General features: G+C 36.1%; 1 long non-coding RNA gene across 4 annotated transcripts in view, besides 1 other annotated feature; it reads left to right on the top strand.

The window, feature by feature from the left end:
* Positions 1-18,618, top strand: part of LOC102723370 (uncharacterized) — a 366,694-nt gene that overhangs the window by 90,772 nt on the left and 257,304 nt on the right. For 2 of the 4 annotated variants that reach the window (XR_931111.3, XR_007062618.1), the window contains exons 1-2: positions 9,812-9,853; positions 12,364-12,434. The exons of the other annotated variants lie outside the window; for them this stretch is intronic. This is a non-coding gene — a long non-coding RNA (uncharacterized LOC102723370). Of the gene's footprint in view, positions 1-9,811; positions 9,854-12,363; positions 12,435-18,618 lie in introns of those variants that run through there. 4 annotated transcript variants of the gene reach the window in all.
* Positions 17,232-17,758: an enhancer, noted in NCBI's record as "OCT4-NANOG hESC enhancer chr11:21882755-21883281 (GRCh37/hg19 assembly coordinates)". NCBI's record gives its function as "activates a minimal SCP1, AML or CMV promoter by ChIP-STARR-seq in naive H9 embryonic stem cells {active_cell/tissue: H9 hESC(naive)}" and the evidence as "EXISTENCE:reporter gene assay evidence [ECO:0000049][PMID:30033119]".

Genomic DNA, 18,618 nt, shown 5'->3' on the forward strand with positions numbered 1-18,618 from the left:
TAGGAAACTGATACGGTCTCATTTAACCTAAAGGACAACAAGGTAAGCCTTATACTAGAAAATTTAATTCAACAAAACTAATGAAAACATATTCCCCAAAATTTATTAAGTTTATGTCTGGGCTCAGTATCTTTCCATCTGTGAAATGGGAATTTAGGAGAAGAATATTATGCTTCAGCAGTCTTCCAGACTTTTGGCTTTCATAGACAAGAAAAATTTCAGAAAATTATTTTGAGACCAATTGAAAATTTTCAACTTTTTATTTTACTAAGTATATAACTATTCATTATTAGTAAGCTAGTATGGAAAATAAATAATGTTGTAACATAAATTGTGATAGTTAATTGTATGTGTCAATTTGGCTAGGCAGCTCTACCCAGTTATTCATTCAAATACTAGTTGATATGGTTTGGCTGTGTCGCCACCCAATTCTCATCTTGAATCCCCATGTGTTATAGGAGGGACCTGGTGGGAGGTAACTGGATCATGGGAGCAGGTCTTTCCCATGGTGTTCTCATGGTGGGTGGGTCTCATGAGATCTGATGGCATTATAAAGGGGAGTTTCCCTGCACAATCTCTTTTTGTTTGCCTGCTGCCATCCATGTAAGATGTGACTTGCTCCTCCTTGCCTTCCACCATGATTATGAGGCTTCCCCAGCCATGTGGAACTGTAAGTCCATATTAAACCTCTTTTTTGGAAAATTGTCCAGTCTTGAGTATGTCTTTATCAGCAGTGTGTGAACAGACTAATACACTAGCCTAGGTGTTGCTGTGGAGGTTTTTTGTAAATGTGATTAATGTTCATAACCAGTTGCCTCTGAGAAAAGATTACCCTAGATAATCTGAATGGGTCTGAATTAATCAGAGGAAAGGCCTTGAGACCAAGTTGAGGTTTGCCTGAGCAAGAAGAAATTCCACCTGTAGATAGCAACTTCAGGCCATCCCAGAGCATTCCAGCCTGCCCTGCAGATTTCAGACTTGCCTTGACCATCTCCACAAACTTGTAAATCAATACCTTATCTTTTAATATATACCTCCCTCCCATTGGTTCCATGTGTTTGGTTGAACCGTGACTGATAACACAAATATAAAACAATAAACCAGTAATAAATTCAAATAGGATGATTCACTACACCACAATTATTTTTATTCAATACTTCATGAGTTGACATTGGGATGAGACTAGACTCAGCATTAAATTTCATAACATTACTTTGTACTTTATTCTTTTCGATTCAAAAATCCGTATGCATCAGAAAAAATAAACAACTAATATCCTCTGCTTTCTCTAGCAAGCAAATAGGTTAACTGTTTATGAAAACTTTTATGATTACTTCAGGGTTCTATAATACAAAGAATAGAAAGTAATGCATACAGGAGAAAAGAAAGGAAGGAAGAAAAGCAAAATCCAGATGCCTGATTCCTTTACCTTCTGAATTGACCTTAACAACACTTAAGAAGGCTGCATCAAGTATGTATTTTATCTTGTCAGTCACAGTCATATCGAACTCTATTCTTGGTTTAAACATAAAAGAGCAAGATTCACAATGATTGGAATAAGTTTTCTTTGGCAAAGCTCTACAGAATTGCTATTAGAATTGCAATAAGCAATACTATTATCCACTTTCAGGAAGTATCTGTCCTGCTGATTGCCCAAATTGCACACATTACACACACAAGCTGGGGTTGAATTTTGCCAAATCTGCATTACAAAAGTAGCCTTATTCAGAGGAAATTCAGTATTTTCTTAATGATTACATTAGTTCTTGATAAGTACTTTATAGAGTACTCAAGAAGGGACTATTGTTTAAAAGCATAATGTTTTATGGACACCTTTGTATTGCCAGAACACTTTTGTTGAAGACTTGGTAAGCTAGATTTCCTGGTCAGTACCTTGGCAATGGTTTTAGAGCTACATGAGAGTTCTTAAACTGCACTAAAATCCTTCAGGCCATGCAAGCTCAGTTCTGCTCAAATAACATTGATTGGACATCTTACAGTTCAGAGATGCAACTTGTAACAACTAATTGCACTAAAAGTGCAATTATATAGGACCGGGAAGTTATGAACTCTTGAGAATCCTGGGGTAACAATAACAACAAGTCAATGTTCATTCACTGAAACTTGAAAATTATTTTTATATATCTGAAGTAAAGAGAAACTATAGTTTATTAGTTTGTTCTCATGCTGCTGATAAAGACATACCCAAAACTAGGAACAAAGAGAGATTTAATTGGACTTACAGTTTTGCATGGCTGGGGATGCCTCAGAATCATGACAGGAGGTGAAAGGCACTTGTTAAATGGCAGCAGCAAGAGAAAATAAGAAAAAAACTAAAGCAGAAACCCCTGATAAACCCAGCATATCTCATGAGACTTATTCAGTATCACGAGAATAGCATGGGAAAGACAGGCCCATATGATTCCATTACCTCCCACTGAGTCCCTCCCAGAACATGGAATTCTGGGAGATAAAATTCAAGTTGAGATTTGGGTGGGGACACAGCCAAACCATATTATATAGGAAACTTTATCAAGATTTTTTCAAAATTGTTTTTGACCAAGTTTAACATAGATCACAGATAGCCTACCTTAACAATGTTCAATGAGAGGGAGGAATTTTAATGTATATTCCATACAGAATTTTGTTTATATGCATATATATGTATTTTATATATATAGTGTATATATGATATATTAACATATAGTATATCTAATATATACACTATATATTAACATAGAGTATATAGATATATTTTTATATATATGATATATATGCCATTAAAAGACACAATTACTTTTGCACCAAATATAGGCTTAAAACAACAGAGATTTTTTCTCTCACAGTTCTGGAGGTAAGAATTCCAAAATCAAGGTGGTGATAACATCATACTCTATCTGAAGGCTCTAGGGGAAAATTTGTTTCATGCCTTTCTCTTAGTTTCTGGTATTGAGGCAAACATTAGCACTCGTTTGTTTGTAGATACATCACTCCAGCTTCTGCCTCTTTCATCACATGGTGTCTTTTCTCTTTGTGTCTGTCTCTGTATCTCTTCTGTTTTTCTTATGAGGAAAGTAGCCACACAGAATTAAGAACCTACTCTATTGTGACCCAAGCTTAACCTGTATTTTAATTACAACCAAATAAGCTCACATTCATAAATACTGGAGACTAGAACTTTAATATATGTTGGGAGTATATGATTCAACCAATAACAAGGAGCATAGGTGATGTTGCATAGAATCACATTATTTATTATATTTACAGAAAATAGCACCCTCAGACATCTTATCACCATCTTGATTTTCCAGAATCCAAACTAACATATAACTTTAGATCTGAATTTGTGAAATTACTGACTTTTAAAATGTAAAATGGGTATGTAAATTTTTTCAATGGGTATAAAGCCCTGTCCAGGGCCATAAGAAACTCTAGTTAAGAAGGATAGAGAAAATCCGCTGAGTTTCCTAAAACGTTGTCCTAAACTAACGGGAGAAACAAAAGGAAGGTCTCTAAGCACATGTGCTGCCATAAAAAAAAAAAAAAAAAACTTACAGGAATTAACAGTTTTAAGATATTGGAAAATAGCCCAGGATGATTGAGATAAAGAAACATTAGCTCTACCTTCCAAATTACTGAAGGGGAGAGTGGAGCCCAAACAGAGAACATATTAATCTCACCTGACTGTGAAAACAGGGTTCCATGTAGTCATGAAGCCAGAATTGGAAAGATTGGGTAGTATGGAAAAGAATAGTGAGAATAAAAGAAGTAATGAGGGTGAAGAAAAGGAAAAATCAGTTGGGTAGACAATTAAGATTAGTCCTCGGAGAAGCAGCCTCCCTGAAAAATCACAGCTACAGGCAAAAATAGAGCAGCCTGGGCGACACTCAGACTAACCTGCACAGATAAGCAGGCAAGGGAGGCAAGGTCCATCATAGAAGCCTTTTTATTCTTTATTATTATTATTATACTTTAAGTTCTGGGATACATGTGCAGAACGTGCAGTTTTGTTACATAGGTATACACGTGCCGTGGTGGTTTGCTGCACCCATCAACCCGTTACCTACATTAGGTATTTCTCCTAATGCTATCTTTCCCTGGCCTCCCACCCCATGACGGGCCCCGTTGTGTGATGTTCCCTTCCCTGTGTCCATGTGTTCCCACTGTTCGGCTCCCACTTATGAGTGAGACCATGCAGTGTTTGGTTTTCTGTTCTTGTGTTAGTTTGCTGAGAATGATGGTTTCCAGCTTCATCCATGTCCCTGCAAAGGACATGAACTCATCCTTTTTATGGCTGCATAGTACTCCATGGCGTATATGTGCCACGTTTTCTTTATCCAGTCTGTCATTGTTGGACATTTGGGTTGGTTCCACGTCTTTGCTATTGTGAATAGTGCTGAAATAAACATACGTGTACATGTGTCTTTATAGTAGAATGATTTATAATCACTTGGGTATATATCCAGTAACAGGATTGCTGGGTCAAATGGTATTTCTGGGTCGAGATCCTTGAGGAATCACCACACTGTCTTCCACAATGGTTGAACTAATTTACACTCCCACCAACAGTGTAAAAGGATTCCTATTTCTCCACAACCTCTCCAGCATCTGTTGTTTCCTGACTTTTTAACAATCGCCATTATAACTGGCACGAGGTGGTATCTCATTGTGGTTTTGATTTGCATTTCTCTAATGACCAGTGAGGATGAGCATTTTTTCTTATGTCTGTTGGCTACATAAATGTCTTCTTTTGAGAAGTGTCTGTTCACAGATGTCTTCTGAGAAGTGTCTGTTCATATCCTTTGCCCACTTTTTGATGGGGTTGTTTGTTTTATTCTTGTAAATTTGTTTAAGTTCTTTGTAGATTATGAATATTAGCACTTTTTTAGATGGATAAATTTCAAAAATTTACTGCTATTCTGTAGGTTGCCTGTTCACTCTGATGGTAGTTTCTTTTGCTGTGCAGAAGCTCCTTGGTTTAATTAGATCCCATTTGTCAATTTTGGCTTTTGTTGCCATTGCTTTTGTTGTTTTAGATGTGAAGTCTTTGCCCATGCCTATGATAAAACAGACTTTAAACCAACAAGATCAAAAGAGACAAAGAAGGGCATTACATAATGGTAAAGGGATCAACACAACAAGAAGAGCTAACTATCCTAAATATATATGTACCCAACACAGGAGCACCCAGATTCATAAACCAAGTTCTTAGAGACCTACAAAGAGACTTAGACTTCCATACAATAATATTGGGAGACTTTAAGACCCCACTGTCAGTATTAGACTGATCAACGAGACAGAAAATTAATAAGGATGTTCAAGACTTGAACTCCACTCTGGACCAAGCAAGCCTAATAGACGTCTACAGAATTCTCCACCCCAAATCAACAGAATATATATTCTTCTCAGCACCTCTTTGCCCTTATTCTAAAATTGACCACATAATTGGAAGTAAAAACACTCCTCAGCAAATGCAAAAGAACGGAAATCATATCCGTCTCTCAGGCCACAGTGCAATCAAATTAGAACTCAGGATTAAGAAACTCACTCAAAACCGCCCAACTACATGGAAACCGAACAACCTGCTCCTGAATGGCTACTGTGTAAATAACGAAATGAAGGCAGAAATAAAAATGTTCTTTGAAAACAATGAAAACAAAGACACAACGTACCAGAATCTCTGGGACAAATTTAAAGCAGTGTGGAGAGGGAAATTTATAGTGCTAAATGCCCATAGGAGAAAGCAGGAAAGATCTAAAATCGACACCCTAACATCACAATTAAAAGAACTAGAGAAGCAAGAGCAAACAAATTTAAAAGCTAGCAGAAGAGAAGAAATAACTAAGATCAGAGCAGAACTGAAGGAGATAGAGGCACAAAAAAACCTTCAAAAATCAATGAATCCAGCAGCTGGTTTTTTGAAAAGATCAACAAAATAGATTGCTAGCCAGACTAATAAGGAAGAAAAGAGAGAAGAATCAAACAGACGCAGTGAAAAATGTTATAGGGGATATCACCACTGATCCCACAGAAATACAAACTACCATCAGAGAATACTGTAAACACTTCTACGCAAATAAACTAGAAAATCTAGAAAAAATGGATAAATCCCTGGACACATACACCCTCCCAAGTCTAAACCAGCAAGAAGTCGAATCCCTGAATAGACGAATAACAAGTTCTGAAACTGAAGCAGTAATTAATAGCCTACCAACCAAAAAAAGTCCAGGACCGGACGGATTCACAGCTGAATTCTACCAGAGGTACAAAGAGGAGCTGGTGCCATTCCTTCTGAAACTATTCCAAACAATAGAAAAAGAGGAAATCCTCCCTACCTCATTTTATGAGGCTGGAATCATTCTGATAGCAAAACCTGGCAGAGACACAACAAAAAAAGAAAATTTCAGGCCAACATCCCTAATGAACATCGATGAGAAAATCTTCAGTAAAATACTGGCAAACCGAATTCAGCAGCACATCAAAAAAGCTTATCCACCATGATCAAGTCAGCTTTATCCCTGGGATGCAAGGCTGGTTCAACATACACAAATCAATAAACATAACCCATCACATAAACAGAACCAATGACAAAAACCACATGATTATCTCAATAGATGCAGAAAAGGCCTTCGACAAAATTCAACAGCCCTTCATCCTAAAAACTCTCAATAAACTAGGTATCAATGGAACGTATCTCAAAATAATAAGAGCTATTTATGACAAACCCACAGCTAATATCATACTGAATGGGCAAAAACTGGAAGCATTCCCTTTGAAAACTGGCACAAGACAAGGATGCCCTCTCTCACTACTCCTATTCAACATAGTATTGGAAGTTCTAGCCAGGGCAATCAGGCAAGAGAAAGAAATAAAGTGTATTCAAATAGGAAGAGAGGAAGTCAAATTGTCTCTATTTGCAGATGACATAATTGTATATTTAGAAAACCCCATCTTCTCAACCCAAAATCTCCTTAAGCTGATAAGCAACTTCAGCAGTCTCAGTATACAAAAACAATGTGCAAAAATCACAAGCATTCCTATATGCCAATAACAGACAAACAGAGAGCCAAATCATGAGTGAACTCCACCTGCACAGACCTAGGGGGACTGAACAAAATAGGGCAAACGTGGGAATAAAAGACAAAGACAAGAGAGTATATTTGGAAGAAGGGGTCAGGGGGCACCTTGTCTCTAGTGGACAAGGGCCCTGAGCTTTACGTAGCCCTCCGTATTTATTAGGCAACAGAGATAGTGAGAAAAGGGGGGTGATTGTTGGATAATTGTCCATTGGCCCTTTGTTTCACAGCAGACTTGTGAGACTGCATCCTTGGAACAATAGGTGCTAATTTTCTCAGTAGGTAACTTCAAGGAACCAGGGAGTGATGTCCCTCAGCAAACCTTTTGGTGGCAGGGTAGTGTGAATTTGCCCACATCCTACATTCATGATAAACAGTTTGCTGTTTGATCATATAGCCCCCAGCGGAATGTTGAGTTGGTCACGTCCCATGGGCCTTTGGCTCCCTGCGAACTCCCATTCACAATCACTACTAAGAGAATAAAATACCTAGGAATACAACTTACAAAGAACGTGAAGGACCTTTTCAAGGAGAACTACAAACCACTGCTCAAAAAAGTAAGAGAGGACACAAACAAATAGAAAAACAGTCCATGCTCATGGATAGGAAGAATCAATATTGTGAAAATGGCCATACTGCCCAAAGTAATTTATAGATTCAATGCTAACCCCATCAAGCTACCATTGACTTTCTTCACAGAATTAGAAAAAACTACTTTAAACTTCATATGGAACCAAAAAAGAGCCTACATAGCCAAGACAATCCTAAGCAAAAAGAATACAGCTGGAGGCATCACACCACCAGACTTCAAACTTTACTACAAGGCTACAGTAACCAAAACAGCATGGTAGTGCTACCAAAACAGATATATAGACCAATGGAATAGAACAGAGGCCTCAGAAATTAACACCACACATCTACAACCAACTAATTTTTGACAAACCTGACACAAACAAGCAATGGGGAAAAGATTCCCTATTTAATAAATGCTATTGGGAAAACTGGCTAGCCATATGCAGAAAACTGAAACTGGTTCCCCTTACACCTTATACAAAAATCAACTCAAGATGGATTAAAGACTTAAACATAAGACCTAAAACCATAAAACTCCTAGTAGAAAACCTAGGCAATACCTTTTTATCCTTTGTGTGATTAGCGAGTTCCCACGAAAAAGCTTGCTCGCCTTTTCAGGCATATACACAATGGTCTCGGAGGGAACTTGCACAGGGAGGAGGGGGGCTTACCTGAAACAATCCTACAGTTATATGAACAAGAGAAGTGGCACTTTGTGCTTGCCTAGAGATATACCCACAACTACATAGATAAGGGGGAGTTGTTCAGCTTTTCAGATGAGAGAAATTACTCAAAGAGCTACAGAGATGAGAGGAGTTTCTTATAAAAGCTTTTGAATTCAGCTGTAAAAATGGCAACCCACTAGGGCTTCCCCTCTGCTGTGGAGAGCTTTCTGCTTTTGCTTATTAAAATTTCACTCCAACCTCTCCCTTTGTGTCCATGCCCCTCAGTTCTCTTGGTCATGAGACAATGAGTTTGGATAACACCTTACAAAATGAGACCAGTGACCACTGACCTATTTCTTTAGTTCCGGAAATCTGCATAGCAATGACTTTGAGGCATTGGCCAGCTAATAAGCTGTGCATTCATAGAGTAAAACTCTTCATGGCTTATCAGAGAATACATACAGGGAAGGTGTGAGCTGAACAGAAATTGTGGGAGTGGCACAGTGCTAGGCTCAACCAGAGTGGAGAGACTTAATTTAACACACCAGGCATAATTTATTTCATACTATAGAAAGTTCTAATCTTAGTAGTAATACTATACTAGAACCAAAGCAAGGGCTATTGTAGATACATTCTAACAAAGGCTAACATCAGGCCTTAAAAGTATAAAGCCAATCTTCCAGTAAATTAACAGGCTGTCAGAGCAAAATTCAACATATTCTAAAGGAGTAAAATAAAACATCCTCTTATTGTAGTACTCATTATATCCAGTATAAATCTTTTAAAAAACTCACTATGCTAAGAAACAGGAAAATGTGACTCTAACCTGGTGATAAATAGTCAACAAAAATAGATACTGAGATAACACCAATGTTGGAATTAGCAGACAAGGGTGTTAAAGTATTTATTATATAAATTAAAGTATCTATATATTAATACAGTCATAATGAAAGAAAAGATGAGAAATCTCAGCTGAGATGTGAAAACTATTAAAAAATGGAATTCTGGAACTGAAAAATAGAATAAATAAAGTGAAAACTTTTTTGACTGAGCTTTTAAGCAAATTGGACATTTCAAAAGGAAAGATCAGTGAGTGTGAATCTGTATCATAAAAGCTATTCAAATTATAGCCCGGAAAGTAAAAAAGACTGGAAAAATTTTTAGAGGCCTTAGAATACAATATAAATGGACACTAAAAGAAAGTTTTGAAGTTCACAGCAATTATTTTGTAGAATATTTCTCAATTTAGATTTATCTGATATTATCTAATGGTTAGATTTAGGTTACAAATTTTTGGCAAGAATCCCACAAAGTGTAACTATGTTCATCTTAGAGCCTCACATCCAGAAGTGCATAGTATTGGTTTGTTATGTGATTTTTTTGTTTTTACCTTGAGACAGAGACTTGCTTTGTTGCCTAGGCTGGACTGAAGTGGCATGATCACAGCTCGCTGCAACCTTAACCTCTTGGTCTCAATTGATCCTCCTACCTGAACCTCTCAAGTAGAGCTGGGACTACAGTGCACACCACCATGCCCAGGTAATTTTTTTTTTTTTTGTATTTTTTGTAGAGCCAGGGTTTTTCTATGTTGCCCAGGCTTATCTCTAACTCCTGGGCTCAAGTAATCTGCCTAGCTCAGCCTCCCAAATTATGGGATTATAGGCATGTGTCACTGCACTGGCCAGTTTGGTTTCATTAACTGCGGTTACTTAACAAGATAGTATCTTCCCAGTTTTTCCATTATAAGGTTATTTTTCCTTTGTAATTAATACATAACTATTGGGTGAAATACTTTGAGACTCTCTAAGTATCATGTTCCACATCAAACTTGCACCCATTAATTATAGCATCCATTAATCATTCTATTCTTTCTATTCTATTATTTCTGCATATAGTACTACTATAAAGAAGAATCTTTCCTTTTTCTCCATCTATTTTTTAAATCAATGGACTTATACACTTTTACTGTTTTAGTGGATTATAATCTATTAGTGTTTTCACTTTTTGATTCTTTGATTACCCTTGCTTTGGACACTGGTATAATTGCCCATTGAGTTCTTCCTACCCACTGCATAAACAAAATCAATCCACTGAGACCATGGAGTGGCAGTAAAACAAGATTTTAATTGACTCAAGGCTGGTCACACCTTGTGTGGGAAGAGATATTACTGAAATCAATCACTCTGAAGACTCAAAGGTTAGGGGATTTCAAGGACAGTTTGGTGGGCAGGGGACTAGGGAATGGGGACTATCTATTGGTTGGGGATGAAATCACTGGGGTGTGAAAAATCGTCCTCGTGTGCTAAGTTCTCCTATTGGTGGGGCCAGAGGGTCAGCTGAGTCATGAATCAGGAGTTCCGGTGGGATTGATCTGAAAGACATCTCAAAAAACTGATCTTAGATTCTCTAACAGTGATGTTATCTATAGGAGTAATTGAGGAAGTCACAAATCTTGCTACCTCCTGCTACATGACTCCTGAGATTATATCCCCATTTTAGCAGTAATCAGGCCCATCTCTTAATCCTAACCTTGTGGACTTTCATTAATTTTACAATGGTGGTTTAGTTTGGAGAAGGGCTATTTTCATCCTTGATTTAAGGTTAAGCTATAAATTAAATTTCTCCGAAAGTCAGCTTTGTCTACACCCTGGAATGACCAAGGATAGCTTGGAAGTTAGAAGCAAGTTGGAGTTAACGATGTCAGATTTCTCTTATGATCATAATTTTGCAAAAGCCATTTGACTGGGGCTTGGGGCTTCAAGCTAGCTTCTCTGTTTTTGTGACATGCACCCAACACTTTTTAGCACTCCTTAATTTCTGGCATGACAAAATGTTCTTATCTCGTTTTGTACTCTCCTCCTCTAACCCTGGAATTAGCTATTTCTCCAGAGAGCATTGTCTCCTTTTAGTTGGAAATGGTATTTAGAACCTCAGATCTAAGAGCTCGGTGTGCTCACTGCTACTGAGATATTCTTTTCTAGGTGTCTTTTTCTAGGGCTTTTCAGTGGACAGAACTAAATAAATGTATTTACTATTTATCTTTCTTTATCTCATCTCTCTAAGAGTGTGTGTGTGTTCATACATATAATATTGAAAGCCACTAGTTTATAAATATTGAGATCTTGAATTCTAGTCCAATACTGCAGGGTTCTTTCTAGCTTCCCGCCTCTCCATATTCATATCTCATTTTTCTAAGAGTGAAAAATCTGGCTTCTAACATTAGTATGTTATTAATGAATTTGCTCTATTCTATAATAAACAGAAAATAGTTACATCTTTCTTTAAAAAAATTAAATCTACTATGTGAAATTCAAGATTTGTTTGATATTCCTTTTGTCTTTAGGCTGAGGGTATGTGGTCAAAATGCTGTGTGCAAAAGTGCTTTGAAGTAGTTTCTTTATTTCCTTCAGTGTGGCTAGATTAAATGCAGTTGAATCCTGTTTACATTAAAGTTGGGGGTTTTTCCTATCCTTAAAGTTTTAATTATATTTTCCTGAACATGCCTATTCACGTTGTTATAAAAGGCAAATCTATACAAAAAGACAGACACATTCAGAAAAGCAGCACTATCTCCCCTATGCCTTCCACTTCATTCCCATAGTTTACCCATTCCAAGTTTTGTTTTCTAATTTTTTTAAAAAAATCACTATACACATTATATGTAATTTTCCCTCTTTTCTCACATGAAAGATAGCTACTACATAAGTATTCTTCTGTATTTTTTGTTTTTACTCAATGTATTCACCATATCAGCTTACAGAGATTTTCCTCATTCTTCTTTATAGCTGCAGAGCAGTCTTATATGAATAAATCATAGGTTATTCCATCAATCTCATATGTTTGGGAAATTAGGTAGTTTATAATATTTTATAGTCACAAATATATTTTGTATCATAGGGAGTATATCTTCAGACAAAATTTACAGAAGTGATTTTTTCTTTAATGGTATATGCATAATAATATGTATATATGTATAATGCATATGTATCTTCACTGAATGCTGCCCAATTCTCAAGTGTAAGTGTTGGATCATTTTATGTTTCTTCTAGCAATGTGTGAAAGAGCCTCTTTCCCTACTGCTTCACCAAGTTTAAAACTTCAAATTTTTTCAACTTGATAGGTAAGAAATTACATTTTGGTTTTATTTTTTATTTCTCTTCTCATGGGTGAAGGTGAACATCTCTTAAAATGTCTAAGGGCCATGTAATTCCACTTACATGCATTTTCTGTTCCTGTCTTTTGCCCATTTTTCTATTAGATTTTTTTTGCTCAATTTTTATAAATTTAGTATGTAGGGATATAGGGATATTGGCCCTTTATCTGTGATATATGTTGCAAATGTTTTCTTTCAGTTGTCATTTGTGAGTTTTTTGTATTATTTTGTTAAACTTTTGCTTGCAATTTTTAGATGTAGTTGAATTTAATTATTTTCTTTTGCACCTGGAGATTTAATAAAGTTATAAATTCTTTCACAGCACACCCATTTTAGAACAATGTACTCATGTTTTATTCTAGTACTTTTTTTACATTTACATCTCTAATGTATTTGGAATTTATTCTTGTATGTGGTATGAGATATTATCGTAATTTTATGGGTTTCCAGAAGGCTATCCAGTTCTCTCAACATTATTTATGAAAATGTTTGTGTTTACCCCAGTAATTTCAATAGCATCTTTATCATATACAAAATATCTACATTTATTTGTATTCATTATGAACTTTCTATTTGATTCCATTGGCTTGTATGTCTTTTTATGTGCCATGAACACACAGTTTTAATCACATGCTTTATAGTATGTTTTAAATCTTGTAGCGTTGGTCTCCTTTATAGTGCTTTTTTTTACCATAGTTTGCAATATACTCTTAAATGTTATTTTTTCATATGAACTTTAGTATCAACTTCTCTAGCTCTAGGTGAAAGCTTGTTAAAATTGTATTGGAATTGCATTACATTATTACATTTATAAGTAAAGCTATGCAAAATCGTCTCTTTAAATTGTTAAACTTCTATGTCCAAGGACAGGTGATTTTTCCATTTGTTCATGACTTGTTTTGAGTCTTTCAGAAGTTTTAAATATTTTTCTTCTTGTAGGTTTTATATATTTCTAGGTAGCCAGTTTCTAAGTGTTTTAAATTTATGTGTCGTCACTAACTCTATTATTTGTATCTCTGAAGAATATTGATTGTTGCATGTTAATTTTAAATCCTGGCACCTTACTGAATTTTGTTAATAGTGAAGGCAGCATGCACACTAGTGAATTGAATGCAATGTTACCTGGATTGGGAGACACTCACAAACACACCAACAGAGTCACTTCTATTTGTGCCAGGAGTGCATGAATATGAGGAGTTTGGAAATGGAAAATATCGTGGTTGGTTTGGATGCATCCTAAAAAAGAGAGAATGGAATCGTCATGAGTGCAAAGAACTGATGTGGAAAGTCAATAAAAACACCGTCTAGAAAATTAAACACAAATTTTACAAGCTGGCAGTCAAGGATTTACTACTTGAGCTTTGAAAAAGCTTCCCACACAGTGTTGGAGAAAGAGTGGTAGGATTAACTTTTGAGGTAGGCATTCATCAAGCTCAGTCCCAAAGGCAAGGGCCCAAAGAAAAGAAAGGTCAATTTCTGGCAGTCAGTAGGGATGATGGAACGATTTCAGTGGAGCGGTAACTGGAGTCTAAGGTGCTAAACTGAGGCCTAGCAGAAGCAAATAATTGATAAGAAGAAATAAATCTGGAGGACAAAAGACATGGTGACTTATTTTCAGCAGATGGTGTCTTAGCCTAAAGGGACTACTTTTAAATTATTGGGCATATCGCCTCCTGGATCTGACTTGAAATCATAAGATATGTATTTGATCTTTGATAGCAATAGTTCAAGAAAAGCTAAATGCAGAGCCAAGGTCTTAGCCAATGTGTAAAATAGCTAAAGATCAAGCCAAAGACTATGGAAATTGAGAAAATATATCTTAAGTCACATAATGTCCTGAGGAAAAAAAAAACAGAGTCAGAGTATTTTGTTAGAATCCACACAAGATGGTGGCAAACTCAGAGGCTGAGTAGAAAAGTCAAGGTGAATTTTCAGAACCCAAAGTCAAGTTAAAATTCTATCACAAGGGTCTGGTGCGGTGGTGCACGCCTGTAATCCCAGCACTTTGGGAGGCCAAGGTGGGTGGATCATAAGATCAGGAGATGGAGACCATCCTGGCTAACACGGTGAAACCCTGTCTCTATTAAAAATAAAAAAATAATTAGCCAGGCCTGGTGGCGGGCGCCTGTAGTCCCACCTACTTGGGAGGCTAAGGCAGGAGAATGGCATGAACCCTGGAGGCGGAGGTTACAGTGAGCCGAGATGGCGCCACTGCACTCCAGTCTGGGTGACAGACCGAGACTCCATCTCAAAAAAAAAAAAAAAAAAAAAAAATTCTATCACAGAAGTCAGCTAACTTTGACCAACCCAGGCCACAGGGAGCTGACAAGCCTGAATGTATGACTAAGGATTTAGACTGAAGTGGTATTTGGATAGAAGCAGAGGTAAGGAATACAGTTTGAAGTAGAACAATGACTTTTAAGCATTTATTTTTTAAAACAATGAAACATTTTGATTTAAAGGAAATCTAACATAAAATCTTAGTACAGGAAAGAGATGAAGTTTCTGACTAATGTGCGGGCCATGTTCTGGGAGAGAGGCAAGCTCTATCCTCTCAGCTTCCACTGTACCTTTTGTAGCAAAACTTTAATCACTCCCACAGAAACCTAGTGCTTTAAATAACACAGTTTTGAAATTATCCGGAGCAGGAGACTGAAGGTATCACATCAGAATCTGCAACTTGCAAACAGATTAAGTTAACAATCGTAGTGTATCAGAAAAAGCAAGGTTTTTGGAGTCTGACGGACCTTGTTTTCAAATCCAGTTCTCAAGTTGCATGACCTTGGTGGATTTGCTTTATCTATTGGAACCTCAGTTTCCTTATATGGAAAATTGGTAAATAATCCCCATATTGATGAATTATCCTGAAAATTCAAAGATAAAAAATGAATAAAGTACATAATAGGGTATTAACTTATGTTAGTGTGTTTCATGCATTTTAGACATGACTTTTGCTGTCAGATAGGAGCTGCCTTTCCTGTCCCTGGTTTCAAGTAAAATTCATGGTTTAGGCTAATCAGAAACTGTGTGTGGAGGCTGGTTTCTGGTGTGCATGTTTCTGCTCTTTGACTTGTGATGAAGGGTGCAGAGAGGTACTCTGAAGTGCTCTCCTGGACATAATGAACCGTTCATCAGATCTCTCCCAACTGCCTTTTCCAGTTGTATTTCCTTCTACTTTCTTGTACTAGGGATTGATATTCAGCCTGTGCAAGCAACTAGAGTCCCAGATGTTTAAGGTCAGCACTCATACTGATTGAGATATGCCTGTGTCATATTCATTTTAAATATTTTGAATATCATTCCTACAAAGAGTGAGTTAATCACTGTTTGTACAAAGAGTTAATTTTAATTACAAAGAGTTAATCACTGTCATATGCTTAGTACATACATTATGTCAGGCATTATGCTAATATTATATACACATGAACTAGATTCAATATTCAATATTACATGCAGATGAACAAAATTCATGTGCATATAATATCAGCACAATACCTGACATAGTATATGTACTAAGCATGTGATAGTCATCCTCTGAGAGAAGTATTGACATTATCCACATAATCATCATTTTATAGAGGAGGAAACTCTAGTTAGTTCTTTCCCTGAAGTCTCACAGCTAAGAAGTGCCAGTGTCAGTATATAAACTTAAATTTCTTATATTCCAAATTCTGTGCTCCTTTCATTATACCATATTCTCTCTCTTAGCACAGATATTCCATAATTGAAAAGCCTGAAATGTATTATGATAAAATCAGGTGGCCCATTATATGGTATGCAGGAATAGGTGACTTCTAAATCCACTGATGCTGAGTTTCCAGGTTTTTTTAGGCTAGTATAGAAGTAACTTGGAAAAAAGATAAGTAAAAACTGTTGTAGAAGTACAGTGAGATTTGTTTTTTTGCATGAATGCAAATAGAATCAAAATTTAAACAGTCAAACTCTTAATTAGAGCAGTAAAAAAGAGGGTCTTAGTAATTTGTTGATTTAACTAGCTTTTACAACATTAAGTTGGATGAAGACCTTATCTAAAATGGCAAGGGAGGCTAAGAGAGATCAATTAATAGTTTTAAATATTGGCTTAGTGATAAGAAAATAATTATTTTTTGTGTCCGTGGGTTCATAGAGCATTGGTTTTATGGTTAGTTGTTTATCTGCCTTTGGGCTAAAAAGACTTTGTATTTTTAATTGTGTGTCCAAATACATTTTATGGTGAAATTATCTCCCATCAATATGTCTCCAAGTTATGTTCTTGCTACTGATGGCTAAGGATAAGAATGAGCATAATTTAGAGCAAAGAGAAACATTAACTATTCAGGTTGCCAGCATAGCTGAAGGAGGAGATGATCTTTAAGTTTCTTTTTAAATTTTAATTGAAAGAAATGTAGCTGTCCTCTAACTAGAGATTTTAGAAGAGACTTATTCCCTGACTACCTCCTCTAATTCCTTCACACTTAAATGGGCATCTTAAAGAACTAAACATATTTGGCTTGGAGACATGAAGTAATCTGTTTTCATTTAATTGAATGCTTGATTTCTTTTGGTACAGAGAAGCCTAGCATCATTTTATAGGATCAGTGGATTTGGTCAAATGCACTGAGCTTGAGTTGGTAAACTGAATTAAGGTTCTTTATAATGGACAAAAGCCTTGTTAAGTTCACACAACTTCAAAGATTATTAGTTTCATTTTCTGAATCAAAATCTGCCCACTGTCAGACTTGCAAAATTCATGACAGTTTTCCTTTCAACTGAAATCTTCCAAACCCGGAAGGAAATCATATCTGGATTTTGGAGGTTTTAAAGGTGGTAGCTCTTAGCTCTCACGTGATCTTAATTTCTCAAATTCCTCATGCTTATCCAGTTTATTTTGTGCTCCATCTCCAGATTCTTTTTTGTGTTCTTGCAGCGTTCAGAAAAAAAAAAGAAAATCCTCTTCAGAAGAGTATGAGTTTCTATATTATGGCAGGGAAAAACACTTGTTATCACACTGAGTAGCAAGACATCCTAGGAAACTAGAGTTCAAAGAGCTCTCTCACCCCACCCATTGAGCTATTCAAAGGAATCCTGCTATGTTATTTGCAATGGAAAGAACATCCTCACGACTTAAAATGTTTCAACATAGACTCAGGCAAAATCTGCAGGAAACATGTCCTTGTTTATCCAAGATGACAAAGATAGCTTTCATATTTATTTCTGACTGTCTCTGGTTCTTAAAGCCTTCGTTCAGCTCTTTTCGTTCAGGGAAATAACTAATACAGGAAAATACTAATATGGTTAACTTTTCAAACTAGAGTGATTCTAGTAGCAACCCTAATTTTTCATGCTGATTGATTTTTTTCACGTGTCTAGTTTAAAAAATCTGGAATGCCCTTGATGAATCCATATTCTTAAACAAATTAAAATTGGCATTCTTATAATAAGAGGTCTCTATTAGTAAAATTTTGCTTGTCATTCATACAGAAATAATTGATGCTTATAATGATGACTTAAGGCTTTCAAATATTCCCAAGTGCCATTTGAATTATCAAAAAACATTAGGTTGCACTCAGCAGAGATTTATTTGTCAGTTATTAAACTTTTAGTCTGTTATCTTTTCATATTACATGATTATACTTTATTAAATTTTCTATTTGATTTATTAGAAAATCCCCTTCCACATCATCCTATGCAACAGCAAGTGTTCTGAATTGAATTTAGGCTATGTATGACATAGTCAATATTATAAAGGGGAAGTTCCTGAAAACTTAGTACATGCCAGGTCGTTTTTGAATAAACACTGTAATTTGGAAATGTTTTAGACTTACAAAAAAGTTGTAAGGATAACACAGAGAGGTCTCATGTACACCACACCCAGTTTCCCCTATTATTAACATGTTAGTATATTTATCACAATTAATAAATATTAATATATTATTATTAACTAAAATCCAGAGTTTACATTAAGATTCACTCTGTCACATAGTTCTGTGGGTTTTGGTAAATATATAATATCATGCATCTATTGTTACATTATCATATAGAATAGTTTTACTGTCCTAAAAATCTACTGTGTTCCACCTCTTCATCCCTCTTTCCCTTCTACTGTTCCCTTGGGAACCATTGATCTTTTTATTGTCTATATAGTTTTGCCTTTTCCAGAATGTCATATGGA

Source organism: Homo sapiens, chromosome 11, assembly GCF_000001405.40.
Source record: "Homo sapiens chromosome 11, GRCh38.p14 Primary Assembly".
Classification (NCBI taxonomy): Eukaryota; Metazoa; Chordata; class Mammalia; order Primates; family Hominidae; genus Homo; species Homo sapiens.